General features: G+C 36.7%; 1 annotated feature.

The window, feature by feature from the left end:
- Positions 10,929–11,223: a silencer, noted in NCBI's record as "tiled region #13047; K562 Repressive DNase matched - State 9:DNaseU". NCBI's record gives its function as "represses a minimal TATA promoter and a strong SV40 promoter by Sharpr-MPRA in K562 cells {active_cell/tissue: K562}" and the evidence as "EXISTENCE:reporter gene assay evidence [ECO:0000049][PMID:27701403]".

Genomic DNA, 19,032 nt, shown 5'->3' on the forward strand with positions numbered 1-19,032 from the left:
AGTAATGGGCATGACACAACCTCTCAAATCTTAGGATCATATTAGACACCACCACCTTCATTTCCTGTTCCACACTAATTTTCATGTGGTATTGCTCCTTAATACCACATGAAATTGCAACCACCAAAACCCAGCTTTGCAAACATAATGATGTCACTGAAAGAATGTAGTGTAATCTAGTGTTGAAACTATCAACTACATTGAGTCAGTAGTATGCATGGTGTCTAACAAATGTCAAGTATCTCTGAGTTTCTTTCAAAATTTTAATATATCCTGCGGTGCCCCTGTGAATATACGGCAGAAACCTGAGCACCTCCATGAACCTGAGCACAATTCCTGAACTATGGTTCATATTTTTGTATTGTGTTTGTTTTTGTCTGAGTTTTCTAGAAAACAGATCCTGAGGCAAAACTTACAAGCCAAGACTTTATGTGAAGTTGTAATTCCAGGACTCAAGAATGAAGGAAAAAGAGAATCAAGGCTGAAAAGGAGGGGAAAGTAAATTCAAGGTGGCGAGTTATGAATGACTACAGCATCACAAAACAACATACCTGCTTTCTTGGTCACCAGCACTTCTTCCAGACAGGACCTACATCATTATATCCAGAAACATTCTGTCCACAGGAGAGAGTGGAGATTCTCTGCCAATGTCTTCTTGTCTCCTGTTGAAACTGGTTGAAGTTTGTCCCTTAGAGAACTAATTAATTCACCCTCACCTCCAGGTTCTGTTACTGGCTCTTTATGGCAACTGCTAGGGAACCCAGATCCCCCAGTGATTGGAGGAACCTCTGAGGATACAGACTGATTGCACCTGAGCACCAAACTTGTGAGTCTCCTTCTAATGCAATCTCAGTGGAATCCAGTCACTGGGAGAGGCTGAGGTCACTGGCACAGTTGGGATATGAGGCACTGGCAATGGCAATGGTGGCTTGGGCTGGCCACTGAGCAAGCAAAGACACAAAGGTGTGAGAGAATAGATGGAAGCCAGCCATTCTGGGGACATAAATTGTGTCTTATGTGCTCCAATTCTTCTTATCATTCAGGTCTTACTTCTCATGTTATCTCATCAGAGAAGCCTCTCGCTCCCTAAACTGCCCTTCTCAGCCATTAGCTAACATAGAACTGTGTCTGTGTTAAACTGTTCCCGTGTTCAACCTAGAGTTGAAGATTGTCAGACTTATATCATGGCCATAAAAAATATGAAGCTACAGTGGGAGCTTGCTGAATTAGTATGGAGAAAAATATTTTAGGTTCTATTGATAGGAATTGATTTCAACAGGCAGTGTCTAAGCTAGATTTAACTAAAAATAGAACTATTATATTGCAAGGAGGGAAGAGGTCTTTAGATTACCCAGTCCAGCCCCCTCTCATGCATGGTGCTCCCACAGCATCTCTTCATGTGATTTTTTTTTTTAGACTTAAACAATTGAAGTTACAGAGGAGTCACTACTTTCTAAGACAACCTAGTCATTTTCAACAGGCTCTGTCATAAAGTGCTTTCCATTTTTTTTTTTTATCATTATTCCTCATTCGAACTGCTGGTGTACCAAAAAAACCTATGTATAATTTACAATGACTGTACTTGAGCAGCTAGTTTGCGGGGGGCAAATTGAGGAATTAGCTTGCATTCCCACTCAATTTCCTCTTGCTGTGTTCTGACTCTCACTCTCTCAGGCAAAAGTCTTTGGGATCCAGAGTCTGACATTCATTGCATTCACTATTTTTCTTGGTTACTTATCAAGAGCAGGCCTGATCTGCAGCAAACTCAATGAAGTCACCAATAAATTTCCTCCCAAAAAGGATAAGGTTGGCCTCAGAATGTGCAATGCACTCCTGGAAACCTTAATTCATTCTGACAGTCATTTGTTTTACAGGCAGTTGGTAAATGTCTACTTGTAATTATAATGTACTGTTCAAGGTACCAGTAATTCAGTGAGGAAAAACTAAAGACCCTGCTCTTTTGGTGCTAAACATTCCAATGTTCCACTAATTAATAACTTCTGTGTATAGTTATTAAAATCCATATTAAAACATTCAGCTGGACTCTCATTCAATCTGCATTCCTGTATTTGTGTGCAAAGTTTGGTTGGTAAACTATGCCTAATATTCTTTTTATTGCATTTCCCTAAGGTATCAAACAAGAAATGCTATCAAGGAAAATGATGCTAATCTAATATGACTTTTTAATTAATCCATTTAGATTTGCAGGGAACATATATTTACTGTTTCAGCATATTACAAAGACTTTTTGAGCCTCTTCGTGTATGAACATTCTGCTAATGCTAAGGATTCAAAGATGGATACAATTAGATAACTTCCCTGGAAGAGACTACCATTTAATTGTAATAAATGAAAACCATTTCCTTTCGTCTTCACTTCTTTTTACGTAGAGTAATGAAAGTCAAGTGGCAAACACCTTGACCTTTTAACTTAAAAGCCATTCACATTCCCTTTCTCCATCTTCCTAGAATATAGAGATGTACAAGATGAAATGCTTTCTTTTCCACTGCCCTTAAGTGAAGTGTGACTATGTGACCTGGTTCTGAACAAGGAGATCAAAGCCAAAATAATCAAATGGAGCTTCTTCTGGAGATGTGTTTTATTAGTACAGAAAGATAATATGCCCTCTCAGTCCTTTGCCCTTTTCCTTCTTCATGCTTAGAGAGGAGCTCAATGCCCACAAGTATAATAACCGTCTTGCAACCATGAAAATGAAAACCATTCACTAAGCATGGAAGAGTCAGAAAATGTAATAGGCCTTAGTCCTTGATGACTTCTTTGAGCAGTTGCCAGCCGACTACAGTCCACCTACTGCTAGACTTTTTATTATGTAAGGAAATTAAACTCTGATCTGTATAAGCCACTGTTAAGTGGATTTATTTTTTTCTTTACTTGCAGCCAAATGCATTCTTATAACATGGCACAAATAAATTCAGAAAAATACTTGATATATTGATTGAAATATTCATAATAATCCATATAAAATAAGATATTTGGACTATCTTGTCCCTAAAATTATACTTTTATGGATAATTTCCAAACTTAACTATAAAATTAGCAATATTACTCTTTAATCAAATAATCTCACTTCTAGAAATGCATCTTAAGAAAAAAATCCCAAATGAAGATTCCAAGTAAAGAAAGATATTTGTTATAGAATTGTTTATAATGTTAAATTAAAGAAAGTGACTTAGCTGGTCAACAATAGGAAAATAATTAAGTAAATTTTTCAATGTCCAGTGGAGGAACCTTATGCAGACCTCCAAAATAATAGTTGTGGGTCTAAGTAGAAATAATACAAATTGCTGATGATGTGCTAAATGAAAACACTAGGATATAAAATTAAGTGATACCATCCTTGAAACTATATAGAATATGAATAAACAAAGAAAAGGAACACAAAACAGGAAATTAGTTGACTTTAAAGATAACTCTTAATTTTTAAATTATTTATAGTGTTACACTTGTAAGACATTTTAAATGATAAATATTATTTTATTAAATACTGTATTATTTTAAAATATATCTTCTCTTGTGCCTCTACCAGGGACAGAGGTATTATAAACCTATGGTTTAGAACACTGGAAAAATATAAACAGAGCTATAGATTTAAACAAACAACATAAAACATTTTAATTCAGTATATAGAGGTAAAATTGGGAATGCTCATAAAGATTAGAATGGTTCCACTCAAGAATGAACATGAAATGTAAAGTCAAATAAGGTAAAGAAATTTGGTTATGGTTTTGTTTTCCTTGAGTGTCATGCACAATGAAGTTATTTTAATAATTAAGGTTGTCTTTTGCACAAATGAAAATGGCAATAATAAGATGTCAGAGCTGTAAGGGATGTTGGAGATTATCTGTCATCATCTTTCACTCACAAATTAAGAAACAGACCTTGAGAAGATAAATGACTCACCCAAGGTCACATAAGTAGTCAGTGGAGAAGGAGCAATGAAGTTCAGGTCTTTTTCAATGTTATTCATCCCCCAGAATAAACACGCATTAAATAAGCATTCATTAAGTAGCTAGCTATTCTGTGCTAGCTGTATTTGGACACTGTGAATATACGGGACACTGTGTTTCACACTCTACACAAAGATAAGTTGTGGACATATCCTACCCTTAAAGGATCAGAGTTTTGTGGGGTGAACATTAGGGTAATAATTATAAGACATATTGATATAAGTACTTGCATTCTACTAAGTTCCATGTGCCTTGGGGCATGACCTTGAAGGACATAACATAACATTTGGTGTCTGAGAAGTCTCAGGAAAGAAATGACTTTTGCCTTATCTCTAAAGGTTTGAGTGAAATTTTACCACCCAGAAACAGCACATTGCAAAAGCACAGAAAAATGAAAAACTTGGGTGTTCTACAGAATGCAGAATACATTGATATGGCACAAATTTGGAATGGGGGTAGGTGGCAAGGAAGAAGGGGAGGCAGATGAGGCTAGAGTGGGGCAAGTTACAGACACTTGGAGAGATTCTTCTATTCTGAGGATTTTGAAATTTGTGGAATAGGAAGATAAAATACATGGATTATTCCTAGGCAGGAAAAATGGTATAATCATATAATGTAAGTTTCAGAAATGTATCAAGGTGTGGAGGACAAAGCTGGACAGGAAGAAGCAGGAAGACAAGTTATGAGGCTATTGAGGTAGTCTGTGCAAGATATACTAAGGACCTGATATGAGGAAGTGACAGTGGGCTAGGAAAGGGAATAAATACTTGAAAGATATTTCTGAGGTATAATTTTTAAAATTTTAACAAATTGGTTGTAAATAGGGAAATGGTGGAATAAGAGTTAAATCCAACCATCCTGAAGTAGTTTAATCAATAAGTAGCTCTAGAAATTTTAGGCAAATTTAAATAACACAAAAACCCTAAAAGAATTTAATTTGCTCCTATCTGTACGTCACAAAGTGATGCTCAAAACTTCCATAATTAGCACATCAAATCTCTTGGTAATCAAATGCAAGTTTTGCAAGGGAGATCTTGAATTAAGAATATATATCACACTTACCAAGACTGAATCAGGAAGACATAGAAATATGAATCAGATCTATAACTAGTAATGAGATTGAATTATTAATCAACTATCAAACAAAGGAAAGTCCAGGACCAAATGGGTGTCACTGGTGGATTCTGCTAAACGTTTAAAGAAGAATTAACACTAATTATCCTCAGACTCTTCCAGAAAATTAAAGAGTTCCAAACTCATTCTATAAGGCCAGCATTAATCTTATACCAAACCCAGACAAAAACACTTCAGGAAAACTATAGACTAATATCCCTGATGAATATTGACACAAAATCCTCAACAAAATGCTACCAAACAGAATTCAACAGCATATTTAAAAGATTCTACACAATGACTATGTGAGATTTATTTCTGGAATGTGAGGATGATTCAACAGATGAAAATCAATCAATGTAATATATCACATTAACAAATCAATCAATGTAGTATATCACATTTACAAAACGAAGGGTAAAAAAAACTCAGTCGTCTCAATTGATATAAAAAAGAACCTGACAAAATTCAACAACCTTGAATAATACAATAAAATAACTCAATAAACTAAGGATAGAGGGTAACTACCCTAACATAATAAAAGCCATATATGAAAAATTCACAGCTCACGTCATATTCAATGGTGAAAGACTGAAAGCTCTGTCTCCAATATCAGAAACAAGACAATTATGCCCACTTTTGCCATTTCTATTCAACACAGTCCTGGAAGCTTAAGCCAGCACTATTAGGCAAGAAAAATCAGTAAAAGGCTACACACTGAAAGAAAGAGGTAAAATTATCTCCGTCTGCAGACATAATCTTAAGTGTAGAATGCTTTAAAGATTTCACCAATTATTATTTTTTAAACTACTAGAACTAACAAATTCAGCAAAGTTGCAGGATACAAACTCAACACAAAAGAAGCAGGTGTGTTTCTATACACTAACAATGAGCAATCCAAAAAAATAAGAAGCAGCAGCCAATTCCATTTACAGTAGCACCAAAAATAATAAAATACTTCGGAGTAACTTAACCAAGGTGGTCAAAAAATTGTATATTGAAAACTACAAAACAATGTTTAAGCAAATAAGACACAAATAAATGGAAATATATTTTTGTTTATTAGTTAAAAGACTTAATATTGTTAACATATCAGTACTACCCAAAGCAATCTATAGATTTATGCAATTCCTGTCAAAATACCAGTAGCATTTTTTGCAGAAATAGAAAAATCCATTTTCAGATTCATATGAAATCACAGGGGACCCCAAATAGCCAAAACAATCTTCTAAAAAAAGAACAAAGATGGAGGTTTTACATTTCCTGATTTCAAAACTTATTAAAATGCTATATTAATCAAAACTATGTGGTACTGGCATAAAGACATGCATATAGACCAATGGAATAGAATAAGAGAGCTCAGAAATTAGCTCTCATACATAGGGTCAAATGATTTTTGGCAAGAGTGTCAAGACTGTTCAATGGGGAAACAGTGTCTCCTCAACAAATGATGCTGGGAAAATTGGACATCCATATGCAAAAGAATGAATTTGGACCTCTATCTTACACCATATACAAAAATTACGTCAAAATGGATCAAAGATCTAAACTGAAGACCTAAAACTATAAAATGCTTACCAGAAAATATAGAGGAAAAGCTTTATGATATTAAATTTGGCAAAGATTTCCTGGACATGACACCAAAAACACAGGCAAGAAAAGTAAAAGTAGACAAATTGAAATATATCAAAATATAAAACTTCTGTGCATCAGAGGACACAAGCAACAGAGTAAAAAGGCAAACTATGGAATTAAAGAGAATATTTGTAAATACATCTGATAAGGAATTAATATCCAGAATATATTAAGAACTCCTACAACTGAACAACAACAAAAAAATAACCTGATTTAAAAATGGAAAAAAATCTGAACAGACATTTTTCAAAAGTGATATATAAACGGATATAAATGGCCAACAAGCATATGAAAAGATATTCAACATTGTTAATCATTAGGGAAATGCAAATCAAAACCAACAATGAGATATCACTCACACCCATTAGAATGAAGAAGAAAGAAAAAAAAGATGGAAGGAAGGAAGAAAAAAAAAGAAAGAAAGAAGGAAAGAAAGACAGGGAAAGAAGAGTTGATAAAGATAAGGAGAAATTGGAACTTTAGTGCACGATTGGGAATGTAAAATGGTGCAGACACAAGGAAAAGAGTGTAGCAGTTTCTATATGATCCAACAATTCCACTGTTGCACATATATATGCAAAATAATTGAAGGCAAGATTTCAAAGAGATAGTTACATACTCATATTCATAGCAGCACTATTCACAATAGCCAAGAGGTAAAACCAACGCAAGTGTCCATTAATGGATGAACAGATAAGCAAAATGAGATCTATTCATACAATGCAATATTAATTAGCCTTCAAAAGGAAGAAAACTCTGACACAGTCAACAACTTGGATGAATTTTGAAAACATTATGCTAAGTGAAATAAGCCAGTCACAAAGAGACAAATACTGTATGATTCCACTTAATAAGAGATATCTAGAGTCGTCAGATTCTTAGAAATGGAAAGTAGAATGGTGATTGCCAGGCACCAGGGCAAGGTGAAAGAAACAGTTGTTATTTAATGGGTACAGAGTTTCTGTTTTGCAAATGAAAAAGTTCTGGAGATTGGTTGTACAGCAATGTGCATATACTTAATACTCCTGAATTATACAATTAGAAATTGTTACAATGGTAAATTTTATATATATTCTTAACCACAATCGAATTTTTGAAAAAAGAATACTAGTGGTGGAAAACCTCTGAAAGAAGGGTAAAAAACTATGTTATGGGCAACAATGAAAATAAATTTACACTGAGGCCACAAATTATTGAAATTCATCTCTGACTTTAAGTCTCAGACCATGAGCAAGGAAAATAAATTCTCTTAAGAAGATAGGCCCAAATGACTAAGAGTCAGGTAGAAGCAATTTGCAAAGCAAGGAAAGAAATAATTTCTTGATGGAGTCATCTACACTGTGATGCCAATCCCTGCACCAGTTTTCGTTGGAGCGTGCCCTCCCCTCTTCATTAATCAAAGGTAATGCAGAATTACAGAATGGAATTACTTGCCAAAGAGTTTTCCATTTTCTGTCCCTGAGATGATGCTGATTGGAGCGAGAAAAGTTTTCTGAGGACAAATGCTCACGCTCTTAGCACCAGAGTTTGCTTGTAGCAAAAACAGAATGCTTAGAGGTGTGCTTTTGTTATTATTCTCAGTGGCTCTGGTGAGCCCAGTGCAATCAGCGATACTCATCCAGGCCAATTCACCATTAGGGAGCCGCACATGAAACCATTTACATTTCCCATTTTGTTTCAAGCAAGTCAGGTCTTTAACTGGATTGTGGTAATTGAACCTTCCTGTTACAACACTGCTTTTGCTGCCCAACGGATTCAAAAGCTGCTCTCGTTACATTTATTTGAACTTTTATTTCATTCATACTTTATACCTCTGGTTCTCAATCTTCAGTCCTGTAGCGAACTCTATAAAAGGAAAAAGAAATTCTTACAGACTCTCACAGATTCATTTAAATTCTTTTTTTGTTTTATTTTATTATTATTATTATTTTTTTTTTTTTTTTTGAGACGGAGTCTGGCTCTATCACCCAGGCTGGAGTGCAGAGGCGCGATCTCGGCTCACTGCAAGCTCCGCCTCTCGGGTTCACGCCATTCTCCTGCCTCAGCCTCCCGAGTAGCTGGGACTACAGGCGCCCACCACCACGCCCGGCTAATTTTTTGTATTTTTAGTAGAGACGGGGTTTCACCGTGTTAGCCAGGATGGTCTCGATCTGCTGACCTCATGATCCACCCGCCTCGGCCTCCCAAAGTGCTGGGATTACAGGCGTGAGCCACCGCCCCCAGCCCATTTAAATTCTTTTAATGATAATTTTAATTAAGTATGTTTTACAAAAATAAGCCTAAAAGTCACAATACTAATTATACAATAATGAAAACCAAATAATATTCAAATACAATGTGAGTATATAACCCAAACACTCAAAATCCTAATATTAATGTTGTATGACAGTGTTGTTTTTCCTTGAATTGTATCACCACCTTCACCTGTTTGCTCCAGAGCAGGTTCTTTTTAGATAGGTGCTGTGAGAACACTCAGTTGTCTGGTCATATTTCTATGCTGCAATTACAGTGGAGCCTCTGCTCACACAGCCTGTCATGATGCCATTTGGCCTCTCTTAGCACAAAGGCAGCATTTACATAATAATTCCATTCCTATCCTTTACTCATTAGCCCACAGTCACAAAACAGTGCTATTTGGTGATCAGCGCAAATGGGGCCCCTGAAATCAGAGAGCAATTTTTATCGAAAGAAGAGTCTAAGTGATACAGAATACATCTCCACTGTATTAATTTTTAAATGACCATATAAATTAAAACAAAAATTTTAATTTTGAAGAGAAATAGCAGAGGTTCTTGGGATTGGTTGAGGAACACTACTCTATTACCATGCTGCCCTTACTATCTATTTAATACTTAAATACAGCATTTCATTATTTTCTATTTGTCTCTGCCAGTTAGAGTGTCAGCTCCTTGAGAGCAAGAAGCCTTATGGTTCTATTGCTTCCCCGACAGTATCCAATAATGCTCTGCCCAGGATAGTAAATTATGAGTAATCAATTGATTGCTTGCTTCAGAGGTTGCTGAATTCAATGATTGATTAAGGCTTCCTGAGTGTTAATACTTCAGAGTCTGTACCAGTCAGTTCACTGGTTTAGAGAAGACATTATTATTGTAGATTACAGAAAATGGGTTCAGACCAAATATGAGCCATTTTGAGACATGAAGGGAGGTTCTGTCGGCTTACCACAGTAGTGCTCCATTTGCCTGCCACCTGCATTCAGATCATAACCCCTGAGCACTCACACCTCCTGCTGGAGCCCTGAGCTAGAGAATGGAGATGGCCAGGTGTGGTGGTGCACACCTATAATCCCAGCTTCTGGGGAGGCTGAGGCATGAGAATCACTTGAGCCTGGGAGGCAGAGGTTGCAGTGAGCTGAGATTGCGCCCTTGCACTCCAGCCTGGGTGACAGAGTGAGACTCCATCTTAAAATAAATAAATTAAATTAAATTAAATTAAATTAAATTTTAAAAATTAAAATAAAACAAAGCAAGTACAGGAAAACCTAAACCAAACATGCCATAGTCAACAACTTGTCTCAGAAGGACTTGGTCGTGGAAAGGATGCTGATGAGAATTTGGAGCCCTGGCTGCTCTGTCTTTATCACCAAGAAGTTGTGTGGCTTCAAGCAGGTCATCTAACTTTTCTAATGTTTAGTTCTTTTATCTATAAAATGAAAGTTGAAAGAGAGGTTCTCCAAGATTCCTTCTTGCTCCAAGAATCTAATAAATATGAATGAGGTGGGAACTGGAGACTTGAGGCCGACTCCACCTTATCGTGTATTTTGTTGCCCTAAACATCCTGAAAGAGGCCCTTACTACTAAATTGCTCCATTTTTTCCTCCTGAGAAACAAACAAAAGTCTCTCTCTCTTTCTCTATGTTCTCCCTCCTTCTCTTATTCCTCCCTTTTCTCTCCAGGTTGTGACTACCAAAAAGGAAGAAAGGCAATGGTATCAGGAGCACTTTCACAGGGAGTAACAGCAGCACTTCTTAAAGATACCATTGTGTTCCCTTGCTCTCAGGAATAGATATGGATCCTTCTGATGCTTTTCCATCACAGAAAGTAAATTCACGAGTGTGCTTGCCAATCTGAACATTGAACTACTTCCAAATGATCGCTTCATCCAAGCTAATGGATAACTGTAGTCTGATAGTCAAGAGCTCATTGATGTATTTCCTGCTCCATTACTCAATAAACATTAAATAACAATAACAGAAAAGATACTATTAAAATAGCTCTGTCTGAATTCGTTGAGAGGGAAGAAAGTAGGAAGGAAGAGGAGGGAAGACATTATGCAGAAAGTTGTAACTCACATAAAAGGAGATGTGTTTGTTCTTCACAGCACTGGAGCTGCCAAAATGACTTTGCGTTTTGCTTCGTATCTGTGAATGCTGACTGAGTTTTGAATGCTACTCTGACATTTGCTGATGTGGAAGCCTCTGACCTCTTGTAGGAACATGTAATCACGTGGAACACAGTGGCTTCCCTGAGCTGCTCAAATCATTATTACTTTTTTAAAAAGGATATGGAGAGATTTAAGAGAGTTAAGAGACAAGTAATGAAGATTACTGAAAAAAATTAAAATGGGGAAAAGGAAAGGAATGAGAGATGTTTTTTGAGTTTGAAAAGGAAAAAGCTAATGGCTGACTTAATTACTATCTTATGGGAATATCAGTAGATTTGTTATGGGACAAAGCAAAAGAAAATAAACTTTCTGTATCCTCTAATAATTTTTTTAATTCAGAATCTCTTTTGATTCCAGAAACTCTAATTTGTTCTTCAAGCAAACATCTCTTGATCCCCAATTACATTTTTATTGACATTGTGTTCAGTTCTTCCATTAGTTCTGCTTCCATAGAAAGCACCTAATCTGATTGTTTCACCTGAGCTCCCCTTTTCTAATATCTCTGCCTCCTAATATAGCTTGTGATGTTTCTTTGCCTACGTGGGCCAACCAGCCTGTGATATCCTAAGCACCAGTGCAGTCAGACTGTTGGGCTTCCCAGGCAGATGCGGATAGTCAAGAAGTGAAGGTAAGGAAGGTGTCATTCCTCTCTTCAGTGGGTCTGCAGCAAGAAGTCTGGTCAAGAGGGGAGACCTTCAGATATCCCTCTGCTGCTAAGAGTTCCTGCCAGATGAAGCACAGACAAGCAGCCTCTCTTCCAGTTGGCAAAGCCCCTGCTCTGAAAAGGTCCACTAGCTCAGCTAGCTGATTGCTGAAGGCACCCACACAGATGGTGGTGTTTGTCTCAGGGCCTTGACTAAAAGGCATGCCTCCTTTGCAGCTTTCAGTACTAGGATCATCCTTTCTGGTGTGGCTATCTGGACTGTCCACCAAGTTCCTAGTCTGGGTATCATCTTATATTAACTGTCCACCAAGTTCCAAGGTTTGGCCACAGTTATTTCAGTGGTCCAGTGGCTCATGCAAAAAGTAGAAAAATTGGGGGGCCTAAAATATGTGCTCAACTTATGAGGTCCCCAAATCATTCAGGGCATTACTTGAAACTAACATCAGAAAAAAAAATCATAATCGGTTTTGAGGAATTCTTGGAACCTCTAGTGAATTCACTGGTTTCTCTCTCATTCTCCGTTCCACCCACAATTTTACTGACCCATTTTTATTTCCTGGTACTTGTCTTCTGCCACATACCGGTCTATTCAACTAACCATTTTTACATGTCAAAAAAATCCACAAATTCATTTCCCCCTTCCTACCTGCCTAATTTTTTTTTGCACATGCATGTCCATTAAGCTGGATGGAAATGCTTACATGAGTCAAAATGTGAGTGAATGTCTCAACAGAAGCATGTCATAAATACTGATGCCTGAACTTTACCCCAGAACAAATTATTTAGAATCTCTTGGAATGGGGCCCAGGCTTCAACGTTTTGATAAAAACATTCCGGATAATTCTAACATATAGCCAGATCTGAAAACCTTTGATATGAAAGCTTGTTGGTTTCTTCTGGCCCCAGCACTCTAGGCACTAGTCATGAAGTGTTGAGTACCTGATAAAATAGCACTGGGCCTGGCTCAGTGGCTCATGCCTGTAATCCCAGCACTTTGGGAGGCCAAAACAGGTGGTCACTTGAGGTCAGGAGTTCGAGATCGGCCAACGTGCTGAAACCTCACCTCTACAAAAAATGCAAACATTAGCTGAGCATGGTGGTGTGCACCTGTAGTCCTAGCTACTAGGGAGGCTGAGACGGGAGAATCACTTGAACCCAGGAGGCGGAGGTTACAGTGAGCCATGATCATGTCACTGCACTCCAGCCTTGGTGGTAGAGTGAGACTCTGTCTCAAAAATAAATAAATAATAGAACAAATAATAAAGTAGCATGGTTCCCCAAGGCCCTTGCAGTATAAATAACAGGTGTTAAAGTAGTTTCCAGAGGGGAGAGATTTCATTTGTAAAAGTTTTGTGGTATTAGTGGGATTCATATAAAGTTTTAAATTATAGGTAAATCCATGAAGAATTTCTGTCTAGAAATCTTACACACACAATAATAATTATAACTAACACTGATGTCATGAATACTATGTGCCAATTATTAATATATTACTTATATTCACTTACTCTAAACTCACAATAACCCTGTAAAGTAGGTATCATTTTTATTACTATTTTACACATGAAGGAACTAAAGCAGAGAAATGATAAGACTTTCCTAAGATCATAAAGGTAGTACATTGCAAAGTCAGAATTTTGAACTTTAGGCATCCGGCTCCAGGATCTGTGCCTTAAAAACTCTAGAATAGTAGTATGTCTCTAGGTCAGAACTCCACTGTGGAACCACTTCATTCATCTATGATTCCTTACACTGATCTAAACATTTTCTCTTTTCCATCTCTATCTATGACTTCTACTCTTGCTTTTGAAGACAAATCTGTTCCTTCTAAAGAAGGACCCTTATATATCTAGGATTTTAGAATGTTAGGGCTAGAAAAGCCTTCATAAATCAACCAGCATTGCCTCTACCTTTATAGGAGTGTTTCCAATTTACTCGGTCTCCTTACGATTGTGTCTAGTCTGCTGTGACACAGGTTGCATTCTCTGGAATAAGATGCTGAATTTGAGTCTGGGGTACAAACAGTTAATCTATGGAAGGAAAGAGAAAGAAGCAAGATTTGGCAGAGAGTCAGACTGAAATAGAGTCCTAACAAACCTGGGCCAATCCAGTAGAGACATCTGAAGTGAATATTTCCTAGCAGACACCTTGTTCTGCACAGGGAAGAAACAGTCAGGGTCTTTATATCCTCTCATTGCTCAGAAACAGGATATTAGCTTCTCCAGTGACCTTTAGAAAGGCAACTTGTGTCTTCTAAAGAAGATCCTGAAGGAACTGACAGCCTGTCAGTTGACCAACCATACTCCTTGCAGTTCAATAGATTTAAAGCAATAGCTCCCAGGGAAACAAATATGAAAGTTAAGAGATATTACTGATAGAATGAGTTCTGTAATAAGAGCAATCAGAGTTACATAAGTGTAACAGAAGGAAAGGTAAAGAGTCATATTAGAAAAGAGAATGGCAGAGGACTTCCAAAATTGATGAAATATACCAATCCCCAGATTAAGGAAATGCAATGAATCTCAAGTTTAATAGGTTAATGAACACATCATTGAGTCCATTATTAGACAAAGAAAAGATTATAAGGAAGCCAGAGAAAATGCCATATTAACTTCAGATAATCAAGAACTAGAAAAACTGACTTTTCAACAGCAAAATTGAAACCCTGAAGACAATGCAATCAAAGCACTGAGTGAGAATACCTGTCAACGTACAGTTGTATACCCAGCAAAACTATCTTTTATGAACTAGGATGAATAAAAGACAATTATAGACAAATTAAGGCTTAGAACAAGACCCTCACTTAGCCCTTTTCCTACATAACACTTGGCACATATTTTAAAAATTCTTCTGCTGCCTTCTGATCTATAAGTAGCTTATTTGCCTGCAAGTTTAATATTTTTCCTGCCTTATCACCTTTTGAAATCTGTGAGGTAGCCAGCTAGCTGAGAAGACTTTTACATTTTCCTGACCCTGGGTAATGCAACTGTACATTTTATTTTGGCTTTCAGTGTCACAACAATGTTGTCCATTATGATTTTTAAAAAAAATCAGTCTTCATCTCATGAATCCACAAATATAGCCACTTTAGAATTTTTTTTTCTGTAGTTTCATCATTCACTATAGATGTTATTCTAACACTTTCCAGAGTGGCCTCACAAATAGATTGGCATTTCCTATACCTTTTTCTGGACGTTATCATACTCTTGATTCATTAGCATTGAACTCATGGCCAGCAGCATGCTAACTCATGCCTGAGGGAAGCTTCTCTAACAGATGTATTTTCTCCATAAGGTACACTGTAGCCATTTTGCACTTAGAAACACTAGACAACACTTCAGCACTATGCCTGGGAACCATTCGAAATAACAAAATCACCAACAAAAGGCACAAAATTGGGGAAAATGTGGCAACTAAATAAACTATGAAAAGGATACTTGCTTACAATTATAAGAGCTAAAACAAAAAGCCAAGGCATCACCTTGTTCAACCTCAGCTGGGAACATGTGTGTCAGGCAATTCAATTTTTTTGCCACTCTGTTCATGCCCGTGAGTTTCAATGATGGCACTGCCAGTATTGATTTTAGGGTTATAAATAAGTTTTAATGACTACACGAGATCACAGATAAGGTATCTGTGAATAATGAGGGTCAACTGTACAACTAAAATATTGCACAGAAATTGCATGAAAATGGAAGAGCTGCTCAGTATTAAAGCATTCTAAGACCCTTAAGCTATTCAGGAGGAGGAGATATACTGATTGATTAATTTTAGACATTTAAGTAGAATATGCATTAAAATGATAAAAATCATGTGTTTCAAAAGAACAAAAAGAGTGGGTTTTACTTTAAATAAAAACGACAACCACCAGATGTCATTGTATGCCCATCAAACTGGCAAGAATTAAAATCCAACAACAAACGTTGGTGTGTGTTTTAGGAAATAGGAACCCATATTGCCGGTGGAAGTGTTAATTGATACAATTATTTTGATAAGAGTTTGTCAATACCTAAGAAAGTTCATTATATGCATTTTAAAATGTGGTACCCAGAACAGGATGAAATACCACATATGGGAATCGATTAATTCAAGGTGGGGCCACATTCTTGCTTCCAATGACTTGAGACAGATTCTAACTTTGCTGTCACTTGAGGGCAGTCACATTCCAACATGTCAACACAAACTTCCAGATACACTGCCAAGCCAGAGCTTCCTCAATCTATTATTGGGAAGGTAAGGTTTCGGACCTAAATATAGAGATTCCCCACACTCTGCGTCTATCTGCTACCACCCACTTTACCCCCAGTTTTGGCTGCATAAGCTGCTGTAATCAGGCATCCAGGAAAGGACAAGGGAATGTGAGATGTGCCAGGGATTCCTGCTGGGAGGGCTCTTTTTGCCATGTTATCATCTCTCCCTCTTACCCCAGGATATGTTCAGCTTCTCATCCATGTTTGATCCCAGCTTGAAAATTGTTTTTTAAAATTTTAACATAAGTTTTAGCTCTTAATTGTTAGTAACATTTGCTCTTTTAGACATGCAGAGCTACTTTACTCTCATTTGTGCAAATCTCAGTTACCTCTAGAGCAATGAAAACAGCATCCAAGACTACTGCTGGCTTAGTAATGTCCAAGGGAGATGGAGTTTGAGCAGGGGATACTCAATCACTGCTTGTCCTTGGTGTTCCACATTGATTACATCAACTAGGCAATGGTAAAAGCAAGTGTTGAATCATCTTGAAAATTCTTGGAGATTCTTTAATGGAGGCAATAAAAATAGAACAGAGTTTAGGCCACCAGAGACAAAAAAGAGCAAAAGTGAAGTATGGGACAAAGATAGGATTAAATAAATTACATGCTGAATGATTAGACTGACTCCCCCTGGCTCTGTTGCTCACTGTGATCCCAGAATACCTGCACCTTCCGCAGTTAGGACATGAAACAGTCTCCTCTTGAAAAACTAAATGGCTCCAGGTACTCATATACTACCCTTTGAGAACCCTAAAAAATGTTAACTTATCATCCTATCCCCTTACAGAAAGTTCAATCAGTTCATTAATACTCTTTTTTTGTGGGGGGATCTTTGAGCCTTTTTATGTGACCATCAGAAAGACATAAATTTTACATTGTGACCCAGAACAACACTCACACATACACATACAGGACTGAAATGAAAGTTACATGAAACAGTATTAACCTCTTTTAGATGCATTCTGGTATTTCTATTTATTCTGTGTAATTCCAGGCCATCCCATCCCACTCCATTCCATCTCATTTCATTTTGTTTCTCTTTTTCAAATTGTTGTTCAAAACATACTAAATTGATTTCTCAACCTTTTGACCCTCAATTTGAAAAATACTAAGCTAAAAGAATAAAAAAATCCACTTACCCTGACACAAATTTAAGACAATTAGTCATTGTGCATCATTAATGTTATTTGATGCATGTGAATGGACAGCAATATCCATCTATTCAGATCTTTGAGGAAGGCTGATAATACAAAATAAAGAGACCAAAACAAACAAATAAGCAAATAGGGAAATAAAATTAAAAGAAAGCAGGAATTGGAGGGCGCGGTGGCTCACGCCTGTAGTCTCAGCACTTTGGGAGGCTGAGGCGGGCGGATCACGAAGTCAGGAGATAGAGATCATCCTGGCTAACACGGTGAAACCCTGCCTCTACTAAAAATACAAAAAAATTAGCCAGGCATGGTGGCGGGGGCCTGTAGTCCCAGCTACTTGGGAGGCTGAGGAGGGAGAATGGCATGAACCCGGGAGGCGAAGCTTGTAGTGAGCCGAGATCACGCCACTGCACTCCAGCCCAGTTGACAGAGCGAGACTCTGTCTCAAAAAATAAAAAAACAAAATAAAAAAATAAAATAAAATAAAAAACCAAAGCAGGAATCAGAAAAGTCTTAATATATTATAATTAATACACTTAGGTAAAAGACATTGCTTCTAAAATTCAGAACAGAGGGCTAGAAACAGGAAAAACTGTAGAAAGAAAAAAAGCTTTGAAATTAAAAACAAATGAAGAACCAAATTTTAATTAAAAAACTGGAAGTTAAAGTAGAAGAAATTATAATCTAAAAAAGAAAAAGGATAGAAAATCAGGAGAAAATATAAGAAATATAAGGGCTCAATTCAGTCATTCTAAAAAAAAGGAAAGGAAATTAATCAAAGAAATCATTCGAAAATGTTCCCAGAAAAGACACGAGTCATCAGAATGAGAGATCCAATACAGCAAACGAAAAAGACCCTCCATAAGGTAGATCATCATTTTGCAACAACAGAAATAGAGAAAAAAATAGTAAGAAACAAGAATCAAAATAGCATTGTACTTCTCCATGACAGCATTGCAAGATAGAAAATTATAGGGCAATTCCTTTAAAATTCTGAAGGAAGATTTTTCTCAGCCAAATATGCTAGACCCAGCCAAACTATCAACTACGTAAGAAAGAATAAGATATTATGAGCCTTGCAAGCATCAAGTAATTTACCACCAATGAAGCTTTGTGTAGACAGCTAATACAGAATGTACTCCAGCTAAACAAGGGAAGCAACCAAGAAAAGACAAGACATGTGATCCAGGACACAGGGACTCCAACAGGGCAAAATGGGAAAGGGTTTTCCCACTACCATTGTGAAGGGGAATCCTAGAATAACAGTTGTAAAATCAGACTACAAAGCAAATGGATTAAACCAGGTGATTAGAGGCCTCTTGGAGGAGTTTCTGTCTCAAAAAGAAAAGAAAAAAAAAAGAATGTTGATAGATTATCTAATTCATTTAACTATCAAGAACATATAATAATAAGCACTAAAACTTTTGACACAGCTGGTATATATTTACTATATTATTTATATAATATAATAAATACTTATATAAGTGAGTTTTTAAAAGTAATCATTTCTATATATTAAATATGAGCCATATACACACTAACCAAATGGAAAAATGAGGCAACTATTAATCCCAGGAAAGATGCAAATCTATACAAGGGAGGCAACTTAATTCTAATAAAATAATACATTGCTCAGCAAAAAACAACATTTATGTCATTATATTAATGTAAACACACTATTGGGAAAATGAGGACAGAGAAATGTGTGTGTGTGGCGGGGGGGTCAAATTTTTATGTACCATGATAAGAAGCTAATAGTAAATGTCTAAAATTGATATATCAACTGTTAGCAGCATAAACACATTACTTAGAAATATAGAGATCAATGTGAAAAGAAATTGAAATTG

Source organism: Homo sapiens, chromosome 7 (genome assembly GCF_000001405.40).
Source record: "Homo sapiens chromosome 7, GRCh38.p14 Primary Assembly".
NCBI classification, from domain to species: domain Eukaryota; kingdom Metazoa; phylum Chordata; class Mammalia; order Primates; family Hominidae; genus Homo; species Homo sapiens.